Below are 16,321 nucleotides of genomic sequence, written 5' to 3'. Positions count from 1 at the left end.
GCAATGAGGATGACCAGAGGTCACTTTCTTTGCCATCTTGGGTTTGGTGGACTTTGGCTGGCTTCTTTACTACAACCTGTTTTATCAGCAAGGTCTTTGTGACCTGTATCTTGTGCTGGTCTCCTGTCTCACCCTGTGACAAAGAATGCCTTAACCTCCTGGGAATGCAGCCCAGTAGTTCTCAGCCTTATTTTACTCAGCTCTTATTCAAGATGGAGTCGCTCTGGTTCTAATGTCTCTGACATTTCTATTTTTAGAAAGAGAAGTCCATGGGATATTTCTATACTTCCAAATTTCACTTTTGGAAATTAACAAATAATATATCAAATACCATAAAAGGCCTAAGACAGAAATCCATCTGAAATATATATTTGTTTGTCAAGAATGTCTGTTACAAGATGGCTTCCATAGCACCATTTTAAAAGCTGGCTAATGCCAATCTAAAGAGCTTCAGGTGCTTGTCTCCATACAGCTGAAGGAGGCAGCACAGGCTTTAACAGCTCTAGTAAGAAGACTTCAAGTGCAAATCTGGTGAGAAGACAAGATAATCCAAGGTTCACTACCTTAATTCTCAATTTGAGAAGACAGCTAAACTGCTGCCAAAAAGAGCTGTTACATCATTGTGCAGCCATAAGGATGCACTTGCAGACCTCCAACAACACAGAGTGCAACTGGCCCAGGATCCCAGCTGCTATGCTCTGAAATCCATCTCTGCATTCTCTCAGAGGCTATGATGCCTCCCGATGGGCTACTACTGGAGCACAGAAGGAATACAAAGGCAGGCCTGTAGGATGGCTGACTTTGCTAGAGGACTTCCTGATGCCTTTGCTACCTCTAACTGCAGAGGAATCTAGTTCACCTTCACCAAACCTCTCTTTTCACTTGGAATAAGACTTTAATCAGTGGTCTAATGGTTCCCCTGGTTTTTTCTAGCTCTTTCCTATTTTCTTTTATATAAGCATTTTCTCTAAAAGTAACGTTGCAATTGTAGTCTAGTCTTAGCATCTGCTTCTCAGAGGATCAGACTAACATTCACTCATGTATTCATCCACTCATTAATTCACTCAAGAAATATTTATTGAGTGCTTAGCATGTTCCTGGAAATTTGCTCTAGGCACTGGGGAGACTGGTGAACAAGACTGAGAAGACACCTATATTGATAACCCTCCTCTGCTCAAAGTGTCATAACTGCTTCCCCTTCTTTAGCACTTACTGTGTGCTGGGCACTGAACTAAGACCACTCCACATGCCACGTCTCATTTGCTATTCACAACAACCCTGAAAGAAGGCATTATTATTCTTATTTCATAGATAAGAAAACTGAGACCTAGAGAGATTATGTTGTCAGGGCCTTCTCTGATAGGGCCAACTTTTTTACTCCAAAACTCATGCATTTAACCATTAGCTTATGATGTACCTACTCCATTTGCATGTATCTGCTCCATTTGGACCACTAATTAAAGTCTTATTCCAAGTGAAAATAGAGGTTTACTGGAAGTGTACTCGTTTGCTGTGTGGTCTGAGGTAGCAAAGGCATCAGGAAGTCCTCTAGCAAAGTCAGCCATCCTACAGGCCTCCCTTTGTATTCCTGCTCTGAGCACTTTTATTTTCTGGTAATGCACATCTGCATAGCTGATTTTCCAAAGCCTGGCTTCATTTCTTCAATTTAAATTTATGACAACTGGAAGAACCATTTACAGAACAGGGAAGACACAGTGCTCCAGAGTATTCGGAGTTTGCACAATTCCAAAGTCAGCTTAACGACAACAGTGTTTAACCCACCCAGAAGAGGTCTCTCACCAGGTGTGAGTTTCCAACTCATCCTCACTATTGCAAAGAAGATAGAGAGGACAGAAAAATCCTTGGCTTCTCTACTTTTCATCCTGGTCATAGCCCAGCCCTGGTAAACTGATAATAGCTGCACACACTCAGAGCTTCTCCCAGAGGCCAGACAGACCCACTGCAAAGTCGGCCACAGCAACCTGTGCAGCAGCTGTGAGCATCCTTCTGAAAATCAATGCAAACACATACCATGGTATCCAAGGTCAGATGTGGCATCCTCTACAATTGATTCAAGTTCGTGGAGGTCCATGGAAGGAATAGGCTGAGACTCAGGCAGGTTCTCTAAAGTTGGTTCATCAGATTCCTTGTGGAAGGTAATTAACAATTCATGAGATGCTGATAGAAGGAAACAGCACTACCACAAATGAAAAAAATATTCTTATTTAGAAGACTACTTGGAAACAAGCCTACCTAATCCTCTCCCTTAAACGTTTTCAAACTTCAGGAGGTAAGGTGGGATAAGAGAAACAGCCCTGAATCAATGAGACAGGTGACCTTGCACAAAGCATTTAACCTTCATGGGCTCAGTTTCAGGATCATGACTAGATAAGCCAAGTGGGATGCCCAAGGTACCAATTGAAGGTACTCACTCCATTGACAGCTGAGGGGGGCCTTCTTCAATTTGGCACCTATGGTGTTCCACTTACCACACCCTACTCCAGCCCTGCTCAGTTTCTGCATCTCAAAATTAAAGGTGTTAGCCTGAATGACTTACAAGTTCCCCTCTAGCTTTAAAGCTCTGTGATTCTATGAATTCCAATTTCCTAAAAGAAAAAGATCTAAGAGACCACATGATGAAAGAATTCACACTTCAAAAAAATAAAAGGTTTAGCCAAAATCAATAGGTATTTCAAGAAATCATTTTGCCTTTTTCCCTTAGTTTTGTGTGTGTGTGTGTATTTGTGTTTGAACCTGGAGCTGGTGCTGAGTTGATCTATTTTTCTTGATAAATGGTTTTCATGGGAAACTACTCCAAGAGTGTCTTTTTAATAAAAGAAAATTTAAAAGAAAGTTCAAACTAATCTTAATAAGTAAAATGAAGCCATGCCACACTGCAGTGCGGTATTTGTGAGAATATCATCATAAAGTGTTTTTAAGAAGTCAGTTTTCTGTACCGCATAATAATTGTTTCAGGAGGCGAAATTGGTTCCAGATTTCAAAGGATCACTGAGAGCACACAGAGAACTTTACAGATAAAGAACAGAGAGTACATGAAATACGTCTTTACGTGCACTTCAGAAATTATTTGAAAATAAGTATGTATTTGGACTCTCAATTAACTTTGATTTGCTGAGTTTCTCTTTGAAGAGAAAGATAGAATTGTTATAATTGCTTCTCTTAGAAAGAGAAGGACATGGTCTGATCTTTGATCCCCATTACCTCTCCACGTATGGAGACCTGATCTGCTATGTACTTTTCACAGAGACCTAACTTTAGCCCCAGCAAAACTGTATATGCCACAGGATCAAAGACAGACCTGGCCTGTCTTATGTATTATGGTATCCAACTGTTTTAAGCTGTGATTCTTTAGAGAAACAGTGCCTAACATGATTCCACATTCGATGGTGCTTCAAGATTTCAAAGCCCAAATTCAGCCAAGCAGAAAATGCCTGCTAAAATAAAAGGCCTTGTCAGCTAGGGTCTGAAAAACAAAGCAAGCCACTCTCTCTACATGCCTCAAATAATTTTTATAACATGTTTGAGAGGCGACATAGAGCCCATTCTCTCCCATAACTCTGATTCTCTCCTGTAAGTGCTTTTGAAATATAAAGTAGCTTGCTTCCACCAGGCAAGAGAGATGCAAAAAGGAATAGAGAACAGAGCCCCAATGAGATTAGCAAGAAATTAAATCATAAACATGTATATGGGCAAGGGGGAGGAAAGCACTCAAAGATGGGAGCAGTTTCCTCTTCCTCTTCTCCTTATCACATTTTTCTTTAGCCTCTTGCATCTGATTAATCTAATTTCTTTCCTATATTTATTTCATCTTTTTCAGCTCAATGAAGCTTTTTCCTGCTACATTTAAAACCCTTCAGGCTCCTCTGCAAAGTGTTCGGCTTCCCATTTTCTTTCCCCTTTGTTCTCTGGATATCATTAAACCTGCCTCACTTTTGTGCTTGTGAATATGATTAAACTTGCCTCTTCCCTGCCTTGCCACCTCTCTTCATCCTCGTCCTGGGGTGAACAAGAAAGTCTTCCCTCAGGTTGCTCCTCCTTTTCTTCCATTCCTTTTAAATGTGTTTTTTCCTAAAGAGATTATGACAAAGTCTGTTCAGCAGTGGTTTTCCAAGTCTTTCTTCATCTAGAGGTGAAGTGCTGCTTTCAGGAGGCCCATTTTCTATTCATTATTAATCAAGGTATACATAGGAAACAGACCAGCAGCATAGGAATTAGCAGAGGGATTATAAGAAATGCAACGTCGGCCGGGCGCGGTGGCTCACGCCTGTAATCCCAGCACTTTGGGAGGCCGAGGCGGGCGGATCACGAGGTCAGGAGATCGAGACCATCCTGGCTAAAACGGTGAAACCCCGTCTCTACTAAAAATACAAAAAATTAGCCGGGCGTAGTGGCGGGCGCCTGTAGTCCCAGCTACTTGGGAGGCTGAGGCAGGAGAATGGCGTGAACCCGGGAGGCGGAGCTTGCAGTGAGCCGAGATCCCGCCACTGCACTCCAGCCTGGGCGACAGAGCGAGACTCCGTCTCAAAAAAAAATAAATAAATAAAAATAAAAAAAAAAAAAGAAATGCAACATCTCAGGCTGCACCCTGGACTAATTGAATCAGAATCTGCATCTTAACAAGATTCATAGGCAATCAAGGTGCATTTCAAGTTTGAGAATACTATAAGCCATAAGAATTTGGAGGAGGGTCCATTGATTGTGGACCCAAGTGGGCTGACAAGGTTTTCCTGAAAACAATTGAAAGAGAGATGGGATGCTGACAATGTGCCAGAGGGAAATGACTGATGTGACTGCACAAAAGAGGGCAGGATGCCTGGCGATGCTGAGCCATCCAGTCTGTGGGCCTGAACCAGCTGGCAAGAGGACACAGTGTTCAAACAGAACAGACTCAACAGCCATCTATCTGCCTGGAGCATTTCTGCCCCCATCAATATATAAACATAGGAAACATGCTTCTGGAAAGCTCAGGGCCAAAGACAGTGGTGGCACTAATCTCAGAAGATCAAAGAATAAACCACAGTCTTTGTCCAGAACAGCATCAGCATCGGTCGCTTCCCCTCCTGCTCCCTTTGCTCCTTGCTGATGGGAAGGGGATGAAAATGGGAAGTCACTGGGGAAGTGATGAGTTGGGAGTTCATAGGATCCTTGTGAAATCCTCTCTTTCTTCATCTGAGTTGGGCCAAGATCAGAACTTTGTGTCTAGCTCCCATGTTCTGTGGAGTAATATATGCATAAGAACATTTTTTGGGATGCTGCCTGCCATATGGTCTCAGGCTTATCTTCAGTTACTTCAGGGCCCCCAAAGGACCTTGATTTATAAGAGGAAGACAAGACCTCATAGAGTATAGTTATAACACCAATAATAATTCCATCCAATAAAAAAGAACACAAACATGGTGATCTTGAAGGGTCAAAGAAGAAAAGCAAAAAAGGTAAGTAAATTATCAGACACTAATATTTAAGCTCATACTTGAAACTACATTTCTTTTTTGCCATATGGTAACTTCAAGAATGAAGTCATTTAGATTTTAAAGAACAAAATAATACCATGCCTGTACTTCTCAATTTTCAATCTTAGGGGGAAAATCCCTTAGAATCAGTGATCCCTGATTTATAAGAGGAAGACAAGACCCTGAAGAGATTATGACAAGGTCTGCTGAGCAGTGGTTTTCCAAGTCTTCCCTCATCTGAGGTGAAGTACTGCTTTCAGGAGGCCCATTTTCTATTCATTATTAATCAGAGTGTACATAGGAATCAGACCAGCAGCATATGAATTAGCAGAGGACTTATAAGAAATACAACATCTCTGAGCATTCTAGAAAAGTATGTCCCCATTTCTATAGCTGAATAAACAAGTACTTTACACATTAACAAACTCGGAATTCTTATAATTCTGTCAGCCTCCTTGTCAGGATTTGTGGGAATGTGCAGTTCTCAGCACTGCAGGGGGACAAAGCAGACTGCACCAGAGAAGAAGAGCCACCTTAACAGGCTATCATTTGCAGGGCCTAGAAGTGTGTGGGAAGCTGAAGAAATGCACCCAGTTTTCAGAGGGGGCTTGAGTCCTTCCATAGTGGTGGCATCAAGACCTTTCTCCAACTAGGGATCCAGCCCTATTGTTGACCCCATGGCCTTTCAGTCAGCAGGTTCTTCACTCGCCAAGTTCCCTGAGCAGGAAAGAACCCATCTCCCAATTCTCTGTAGCCTGCAACAGATCCCACAGGGGGCCTTCACTTAAATGGTGTGTCAGAGGGGTGGGAAAAGGGGGATGGAATTGAGCACATATTACCATCATCCCCACATTGTCTGCTAACTGGTCCATCAAACAGAGGAAGACTCCTGAAATTAGAGGAAGCTAGGCCTCTTATTGGTCCCCACTTGGGATTTTTAGAACTCCAAAGCACACAGAACCCCTAAATAATTGAGAAAGATGCATTACTGGCAGATCTCCCCCTTAAAGAGGGGCCCTGTCTGGCTGAGGGTGAGGTCTCCTGCATGCCCCAGGGCTTGGAGCCATCTGATAACTAAGCTACAACAGAATTAGCATCCCTGGGGCTTGGGGGATTGTCCCCACAGCCTCAGGGAGCTTGGTGCTTCCTGCTAAAGGAGAGAATCTCTCACATGCAGGGATCTCCGTGAATAAAAATCAGAATTTGAGACAGTAGAAGTTCTCTATAAAAATGGCTTCATCCCAAGTTGCTTTTACCTGAAGTGCTATGAGGTTGGTATTGATGTCTATTGCCCAAATTTGACGTTGTAAAGACCACCTTATTAATCAGAGCCTACCCAAGGCCTGTGGAGATATTGTCAACCATTAGAGAAAATGGTGTTTGCTATTTACAGATTTGGAATGCCGAGGACATGAATTTGGGGTCATTTCATGTGAATCTGCAACTCTATTCATTATTGAACATCTATGACAGTTAAAATTTGAATGAAATTATTAACACAATGTACAACAAAATGGGTAGGAAACAAAATAAAAAGGAAAAGAATAAAAACCAGACAAAGAGAACAATGTACTAAAGAGGTAAAGCAACAATAGCATGGGTGGAATTAAAAATTAGATATACACACATTTGTTCTGTCAGCTAATCATTTTAACCCATCAGTTATGCATTCAGTGCCAATTCAGTTGTCTTGTACAGAGTAGGAGCTTGATTTTTGTTAAATGGATCAATTGATCCACCTCTCGCTACAGCCGCTTTGAATCGTTGTCACCAGCTGTTGACCTACATTCTAGAATCCTTCCTGGAATTGGGTGAAGTTAATCTGGATGTTCTTGTTTTCTCCCTTGTCCCTTTTCCTACCCAATCATCGCCATGAATCTAAAGCAAGAAAAATTTTTATGTAAAATTTAAAATAAGAGGGTACTTACATGGAGTACATCAACACTCAGCTGCTGAAAGTTCCGAGATCTCAATTCTTGCATTCGTTTGCTATTTTCTTCATATTTTTCTTCCACAATCTTTCTGTAAATTTAAAGTGAATGTAGAAAAATAACTGCGAATTGCTAAAACCATGTCTATATTATACAGATGAGTGTGATCCTTATTTCAACAGACTGACTGGGGGATTAGAAAGCCAGGCCATCAGGTCTCTTCCTCATCAAGGTGAATGTGGTGCAGCACCCGGCTGATTCTCTTTTAAAGCACACACAAGATACTCTGGTTCCTTATTCACCCTTACAAATCCCAAAATGCAGCAGCAGGAGAAGGCAGTGCTCCTCTCTGTGAGTTCTCCAAGTGCAATGACAGGGCTATGTGTTCCCAATGCCTAGCACAGTGCCTAACACATACTAATAACACAAAAACTGCTTTCAGGATGAACAAACCCATAAAAAGTAAAACTAGAGCTACATATCAAAGGATTTATGAGGAAATATCTGGGAGTCATTGCGCAGGGGAATTTTTCTAGACACATTTACTTTGTTTTCTCTATTACAGGAGAGTGAGTTTAAGCGACCTGCTACTAAACTGGAAGAAAGATTTGAGTTCTTATGATTACTTGTGGGCTAATTTATACTCAGGTTTTCATCACTGAACACCCTTCTAGTCAAACTCCCTTGTCTCTAAAACGGGTACATTATAATTCTTCTGACAATAGAGTCATTTTCTAGCTAAAACACATGATCCCCCTTGATTCTATAATCAACAACTAGAAACAATTCCAATACAACTTATTCACAAAATCAAGACCAAACTTTATTTAAAACCATTACTTTCAAATAAGAAAAATATATTAGTGTATCATGTGAAAGATATGTGACTTCTTTGTATTAAAAAACAGTTTTAATGTATTTTGTAATCTGTATATGTTATTAAATTTGCCTTTTTAATCTGTTCCTATCAGAGATTTAATTTTCCTTTTACCCCCAGCCAATGACACGAATCATGGCACCTTGGAAATATCACCATTTCTGAGGTATTACGAACAGATTTGGGGCTGTGAGCTGATGCAATGGCTCAAGCAATTTATGTGAATATATTTTCCCAGTAAAACTCACACTCAATGTCATAGTGGTTTGCAGAATCCAACTTGTATTGGCTCAAGAGCAGATTGTGTAAATATCTTCCCAACTGAATATTAAATGGTATCATATTGTTAGCTTGATATTGGCCACAGTGGAAGTATTTATATCACAGAAATCAGCAAACAAATAAGCAGTCCCCTTCAAACCCAGAGCTGGTTGTTAAATATTTACCAGCACACCACTGCTCACAATGTACTTTCATGGAAATCTTTCTCTACCAATTTATTAAAGAAAGCAAATGTTACGGGAAAATAGACTCATAGATTCTTACTTGGCTTATCATGATATTCATTCTAAGTACAAGGACACCTCTAAATCATTTTTTGGATAAATTAACAAGGGAACAAAATGCGTAGATTTGTGTTCAGGTTCTTTCTGTCTCTCTAGTTCTTGATTGGGGCTCCTAAACTACCAAAATATTGGCAGAGGAAGAAAAAATAAGAAAAATTTGGAAATTTGATAACCTACCAACACATAAATCAGTCTTTCAGAAATTGAGGCTCTAAGCCTCTTTGAAATTCCATTTTTATACATGTATTTTTTCAGCTTTATTAAAATTTAATTGACAAAAAATGTTTAGATTTATATATACTGTGTGATGTTTTTATATATGTATACATTGTGGGATAATTAAATCAAGCTCTACTCTGTTAGCAATTTTCAAAAATACAAAACATTGTTATTAATTACAGTCACCATGCTGTACAATAGATCTCCAGAACTTATTTCTCCTGTCTGAAACTTTTTACCTTTTGACAACATTTCCCCATTCATGCCCCCCTGCCCCTAGTAACCCCATTCTACTCTCCCCTTTTGTGAATTTAACTTTTTAAGATTCCATATATAAGTGATATCATGCAGTATTTGTCTTTCTATGCCTGGCTTATTTCTCTTAACATAATGTCCTCCAGGTTCATCCATGTTGTTGCAAATGATGGGATTCCCTTCTTTTTTAAGGCTAAATAGTACTCCATTGTGTGTATTTATACCACATTTTATTTATCCCCTTATCTGTTGATGGATACGTAGGTTGAGTCCATATCTCGGCTACTGTGAATAATTCTGCAATGAACATTGGAGTATAAGTATCTTTTCTATATACTGATTTCATTTTCTTTGGATATAAGTCCAAATGTAGGATTGCCAGATCATATGGTAGTTCTATTTTTTAATGTTTAGAGGAATCTTCATGCTATTTTTCCATAATGGCTGTACTGATTTACATTCTCACCACTACTGCACAAGGGTTCCCTTTTCTCTACATCCTGGCTAACACCTGAAATTTCACTTTTTCATGTAAATACTCTAATTACTAGTGATATCTCCCACCAGCAACATCGCCCTGAGCATAGACTTTTCTAAATGCTTCACTTGACAGAACAGAGCTCTGTTTCCAGTCTACTTCTTCCAAAAGCTAACAATTTCCTGCCAATAAAGTCTCCTTCCTATAAATAAGTGAGGTCTCCTGGTAGAAGGTACGCAGCAAGCACCTAGGGAATCCGGGTGAAACAGTGATGTCTCCTGCTGGGGTATGTGCAGAAGCTGTCAACAACAATGAGATTTCGTTTGGAAACTGACCCTATTTTCATCACTAATAACCTCCCAAATAGTTAATCTTTCCCTTCACACAAGACTGAAAGCCTGATATTAATAGCACCTGACATTCAATCTATGGCTCAATAATCATCTTGGAGTGAACAAGTGAATGAATAAACACATAAATACATAATCGTATGCATTGGGGTTTCCTGTTTTGGTTTTTGCTTTTCTCTGTAAATTCCCTGAGAGCCCTGAGAAGTAGTCCCGAGCATGAGTGCCTAAAGGAAAAGCAGCTTACTTCAGCTTCCTGGCTTTCTCATCAGCCGCCTGGAGCTTCCTCAGCCGCATCCTTTCTCTTGGCGTCATTTTCTGTACTTCTGACAGTGCCCTCAGAGTCTGCAGGTGGATCCTTTTTTGCCTATAAATAACAAAGATTCCCCTCATATAGCCCATCCCAAACATGTTCAGAAAAATTAAACAAATATTTTATAAAAGTATCACTACACTACTGAGAGCAAAAGCATCTTGAGACAGGCCAGGCAAAAACTAATAAGCTTTGGGTATGTAATGAGCCAACCAGGACTGTAGTTAATAAGCAACATTTTTCAAATTAGATTTTTGTTTAAAGGAAATTATTTACTTTCCAAATTCCTGCTCATTTCATCGCCAATGACTAGTTTTCATAATGTAAAACAAATTAGGATCTTGGCCATTAAAGAGTAAATAGACTGGCCCAGTAATTCCACCATGTGGATAAAACACATAATCTTTAGAGTTAGGCAGGGTTCGAATCCCACCTCCACCACTCATTAGCTCTGTGGCCTTGGGCAAGTAACTGAACCTCCCTGAATCTCAGTTTTCTCATCTGTAAAGAATGGGCTACAGTAAGTATCATATGAGATAACATATGCACAGTGCCTAGCACATAAAAAGTATTCCAAAATGCTAGTATTTTAATAGCTAAATCTTATTTTTTTATTTTTTAACTTTTATTTAAAGTTCAGGGATGCATGTGCAGGTTTGTTATATAGGTAAACTCAAGTGATAGGGGTTTGTTGTACAGATTATTTTGTCACCCACGTATTAAGCCTAGTACCCATTAGTTATTTTTCCTGATCCTCTCCCTCCTCCCACCCTCCACCCTCTGAAAAATTCCAGTGTCTGTTGTTCCCCTCTATGTGTCCATGTGTTCTCATCATTTAGCTCCCACTTATAAGTGAGAACATGCATTATTTGGTTTTCTGGTCATGCATTACTTTGCTAAGGATAATGGCCTCCAGCTCTGTCTATGTTGCTGCAAAGGACATGATCTTGTTATTTTTATGGCTGTGTAGTATCCCATGGTGTAAATGTACCACATTTTCTTTATCTAGTGTACCATGGATGGGCATTTAGGTTGATTCCATGTCTTTGCTATTGTGAACAATGCTGCAATGAACATATGCGTGCATGTGTCTTTATGATAGAATGATTTATATTCCTTTAGGTATATATCCAGTAATGGAATTGCTGGGTCAAATGGTATTCTATTTTTAGGTCTTTAAGGAATCGCCACACTGTTTTCCACAATGGTTGAACTAATTTACACTTCCACCAATGGTGTATGAGTGTTCCTTTTTCTCTGCAACCTCACAAGCATCTATTTTTTGACTTTTTTTTTCTTTTTTTTTTTTTTTGAGATGGAGTCTTGCTCTGTTGCCAGGCTGCAGTGCGGTGGCACGATTTCGGCTCACTCCAACCTCAGCCTCCTGAGTAGCTGGGACTACAGGCACACGCTACCACGCCCAGCTAATTTTTGTCTTTTTAGTAGAGACGGGGTTTCACCGTGTTGGCCAGGATGGTCTCGATCTCTTGACCTCATGATCCACCATTCTGACTGGTGTAAAGCTTTCTGAGAACTTGCCCTATGAATCTGGGTGCTCCTGTATTGGGTGCATGTATATTTCGGATAGTTAGATCTTCTTGTTGAATTGAACCCTTTACTATTATGTAATGCTCTTCTTTGTTTTTGATTATTGTTGGTATAAAGTCTGTTTGGTTTGAAATTAGAACAGCAACCCCTGCTTTTTCCTATTTTCCATTTGCTTGGTAGATTTTTCTCCATCCTTCACTTTGAGCCTATGTGTGCCATTGTATGTGAGATGGGTCTCAAAGACAGCATATAGTTGGGCCTTGCTTCTTTATCCAACTCGACACTGTGCCTTTTAATTGTGGCATTTCGTCTGTTTACATTCAAGATTAGGATTGATCTGTGTGGATTTAATCCTGTCATCATGATGTTATCTGGTTATTATGCAGACTTGTTTGTATGGTTGCTCTATAGTGTCACTTAGAGTCTGTGTACTTCAGTGTGTACCAGTAGTGGCTGGTAATGGTCTTTCCTTTCTATATTTAGTGCTTCCTTCAGGAGGTCTTATAAGGCAGGTCTGGTAGTAACAATTCCCTCAGTATTTGCTTGTCTGAAAAGGATCTTATTTCTCCTTCGCTTATGAAGCTTATTTTGGCAAGATATGAAATTCTTGGTTGGAATTTCTTTTCTTTAAGAATGTTGAATGTTGGCCCCCAATCTCTTCTGGCTTGTAAGGTTTCAGCTGAGACATCTGCTGTTAGTTTGATGGGCTTCCCTTTGTATGTGACCTGACCTTTCTCTCCAACTGCCTTTAAAATTTTTTCTTTCATTTTGACCTTGGAAAACCTCACGATTATGTGTCCTGGGGGATGATCTTCTTGTGAAGTATCTTACTGAGGCTCTCTGCATTTTCTGAATTTGAGTGTTGACCTCTTTAGCTAGGTTGGGGAAGTTCTTATGGATGAAATTTCTATGTTTCTATGCAATGTATTTCTGTGTTTTCCAAATTGCTTCAATTTTCCCCACCTCTTTCAGGGACATGATTTGACCTCTTTTACATAATCCCATATTTCTTGGAGGTTTTATTCATTCCTTTTTCTCTATTCTTCCCTGACTGTCTTATTTCAGAAAACCAGTCTTCAAGCTCTGAGATTCTTTCCTCAGCTAGGTCCATTCTGATACTAATACTTGAGATTGCATTCTTTTTTTTTGGAGATGGAGTCTCATTCCATCATCCAGGCTGGAGTGCAATGGTGCTGTCTCAGCTCACTGCAACCTCCGCCTCCCAGGTTCAAGCGATTCTCCTGCCGCAGCCTCCTTGGTAACTGGGATTACAGGCACATACCACTACACCTGGCTAACTTTTGTATTTTTGTAGAGATGGGGTTTCCCCATGTTGGCCAGGCTGGTCTCAAACTCCTGACCTCAAATGATCCACCCACCTCAGCCTCCCAAAGTGCTGGGATTATAGGCATGAGCCACTGGGCCCGGCCTGAAATTCTTACAGTGTGGTTTTCAGCTCAATCAGGTCAGTTACATTCTTTTCTATACTAGCTATTTTTCTGTCAGCTCCTGTATCATTTTATTATGTTTCTTAGCTTCCTTGGATTGTGTTTGAATGTGCTCCTGCATCTCAATGATCTTCATTCCTATTAATATTCAGAATTCTATTTCTGTCATTTCAGCCTTCTCAGTCTGTCTCAGAACCCTTGCTACGGAGGTACTGTGGTCACCTGGAGGAAAGAAGGCAGTCTGGTTTTTTGAGTTCTCGAAGTTCTTGCACTGGCTCTATCTCATCTTTGTGGGCTGAAGTTCCTTCAATCTTTGAAGATGCTATCCTTTGGATGTTTTTTCCTTTTATTCTACTTGATAACTTTGAGGGTTTGATTGTGTTATAAGGTGGATTCAGTAGACTGGTTTTGTTTCTGGAAAATTTTAGGCAGCCAGTGCTCAGCTCCCAGCTCCTGGGCTGTGTGCTCTAACTCTGGGAGACTTGTACTGGGCCCCAATTTTGCTCTCTGGCTCCTCAAGGTCGTCAACTCATTGCGCTGGGGGGGCCTATGTGCTCCTGGACAGCTGGTCACTACACTCTGATGGATGGTGCCAGCCATACCATTTTGTAGGATGGTGGCAGCAGATCCATCCTTGCTTGCATGTGCCAGCAGCGGCAGTGGTGGTGGAGTGGCAGTGTGGAGGGGTGCAGACTTGTCAGCTGTGGAAGGGTGCTAGCAGGTGTCAGGGTGCCTGTCTCCCTGTGGGCATTCACAGCAGCAGCAGAGACAGAATGGCTCAGGGAGCCGGGGCCCTCCACTGGCAACTGTGCATGTGGTCCTGCTGGTGGTGGTGTTAGCACAGGGTGCAGCACTTGTGGGCATAGGTCTGTGTGCAACCTCTGTGCATGCTGACACAGGTAGGGGTGGCCACTCAGGGCAGGGAAGGGTCCGCTGTTCTCTGCACCTAGTTTCACTCTAGCAGCAGTGTTGGTACAGGGGCAGGGTGCTGGTAGGGCCAGGGCTGGCTGTCTCTGTGCCCGCCAAGGCTCTGATTGCAATGGCAGGGGAGGTGAGGTGGGATACACTCCTGTCAGCAGCAGTAGCAGGGCAGTGTGCATGCACATGCACGCTGGCAGGGCAGGAAAGTCAAAATCTGCCCATGTATATAGATGCCAGAAAAGCAACATGGGGAGGGTGGTGGCTGTGAGCCTGAGGAAGCTGCAGTTAGGGGAAGGAGCAGGCCTCCCTACTGGATCTCTCCTCCAGTCAGGCATGATTCCTCAGCAGTACGGGAGCTATGATGTAGACCCCCAAGACACCCGTGGCTGCACTGCAAGCAGGCATGGCCAGGCTGGGCCTCAGGAGAGGCCAGAAGATCAAGGGGTGCTCAGGTCAGATCAGCCCCCTCTGATGGGTAAGACTGCCTGCAGAGTTCAAGTCTGACAGTTCCCCTGGGTCTAAAGCCTCCCATGGGAGCAAGTCAAGCCTAGGGGGATGGTCTCCCTGGCCATGCTCTGCTGCAGACACTCAAGCACCAAACCCTCTGGACTTCACATCAGCTGGTGTGCTGCCCCTACCACTTCTCTAAGCAGCTCTCCCTACCAACTCAAGTGTCCCTGGTAGTCAAGGGGTGTCCTCCAGCCAGGATTCCAGAGGCCTGTGGCAAGAATAGGTTGCTCTCTGCCAGTTCAACTCACCCATTCCCCCAGCGTCACTGGAGGTCCCGGTGCACAGGTGTACAGTGGCCCCATACAGGATTCCCACCTTCCTCCCCCTTCAGCCCAGCTTCTGTGTCTTCTCTCCAACCACTCTCAGTTGTTTCCTCTGAAGATCTGTTAGGAGTGTGCCAGTCATCCTGGTCCCTCAGTGGCAGCTGTTCCACCTGGCTCACCTGGCTGCATCTAGCCAACTAGAGGTAGGGCATCTTGTCCCCTACCTCATGCTAAATTTTATTGACTATGTTTTCTATTCCAGGCTTAATACAGTAGATATTTTTGTTGCAGCATGGTGTAGTGGTTAATCGCACAGATTAATAACACACTCTGTGTTCAAGAATACACAAACTTTTTCCCACCGCCCAGACTGTAATGGACAATGATCACACTCCCAGGGCCAACACAAGGTTTAGGCTAGTGAGATACCTCAGGCGCAAAATCTAAGGGGGCACCAAAAAAATTCAGTAACCAAGATAATTTTAATGAAAATTATTTTAAAAAGTCAAAATTAATGTCAAAAAGCCATAAAGAATACAATAGCAAAATTTTAAGGACAGGATCCTACCCTGAACTTACACAATTCCACCTCACTTGCCTCACCTGATCCTGGCCCTGCTGGACTCTGTCTTTAAACTTTTAATATTTTGTTACCAGGGATTTTAAGCATTAATTTGGAATTTTACAATATTGCATTAAAATTTGATCTTGATTCTGAGTTTTGGTGTCCCATTGAAATTTTGCCACAGGGTCAAGGGCCTCACTTGCCTCATCCTCCTCCCAGCAGATCCCTGTGAATACCTTTTGACTTTTTTTTTTTTTTTGTGGAATGCTCACAGCCTCTTCAGTGTTTTCGATCCCAACAACCAGCACATAAACATCTTTCAATGTATGATTAATGTTAAGCATATTTCCTTAACTGAAAAAGAGGCTAAATAATCACATTGGCTAACATTTTAGCAGGTAATAACCCCATGCTTGTAAGCACTTTACATGAATTAACTCACTTAAATGCAGAGCAACTCTATGAAGTAGGTACTTTTTTTTATAGTCATAGAGAGGTTAAGTAACTTGTCCAAAGTAATACAGAGTATTACCTGGGAACTAGAATTTGAATTGAGAGAGTGTTATTAATCTGTGCAATTAACCACTACACCATACCTCAGCAAAAAAT

The 16,321-nt window shown here is 41.5% G+C and overlaps 1 protein-coding gene across 58 annotated transcripts in view; it reads right to left on the bottom strand.

Annotated features, from left to right (window-relative positions):
- NEK11 (NIMA related kinase 11) overlaps positions 1-16,321 on the bottom strand; it is a 323,589-nt gene that overhangs the window by 177,547 nt on the left and 129,721 nt on the right. For 48 of the 58 annotated variants that reach the window (XR_001740271.2, NM_001353038.2, NM_001353022.2 and 45 more), the window contains 4 exons: positions 10,392-10,511; positions 7,400-7,493; positions 3,982-4,089; positions 2,032-2,146 (listed from right to left, as the gene is read on the bottom strand). Coding sequence is in view for 57 of the 58 variants with exons in the window: in NM_001353038.2 (NP_001339967.1) it covers positions 2,032-2,146; positions 3,982-4,089; positions 7,400-7,493; positions 10,392-10,511 (437 nt within the window). In the remaining variant the exon portion in view is untranslated. The remainder of the gene's footprint in view (positions 1-2,031; positions 2,147-3,981; positions 4,090-7,399; positions 7,494-10,391; positions 10,512-16,321) is intronic. The other 10 variants (XM_047448974.1, NM_001353027.2, NM_001353030.2 and 7 more) reach the window with 1 other exon arrangement.

Source organism: Homo sapiens, chromosome 3 (genome assembly GCF_000001405.40).
Source record: "Homo sapiens chromosome 3, GRCh38.p14 Primary Assembly".
Taxonomy (NCBI): Eukaryota; Metazoa; Chordata; class Mammalia; order Primates; family Hominidae; genus Homo; species Homo sapiens.
This window is presented reverse-complemented; position numbering and strand designations above follow the sequence as displayed.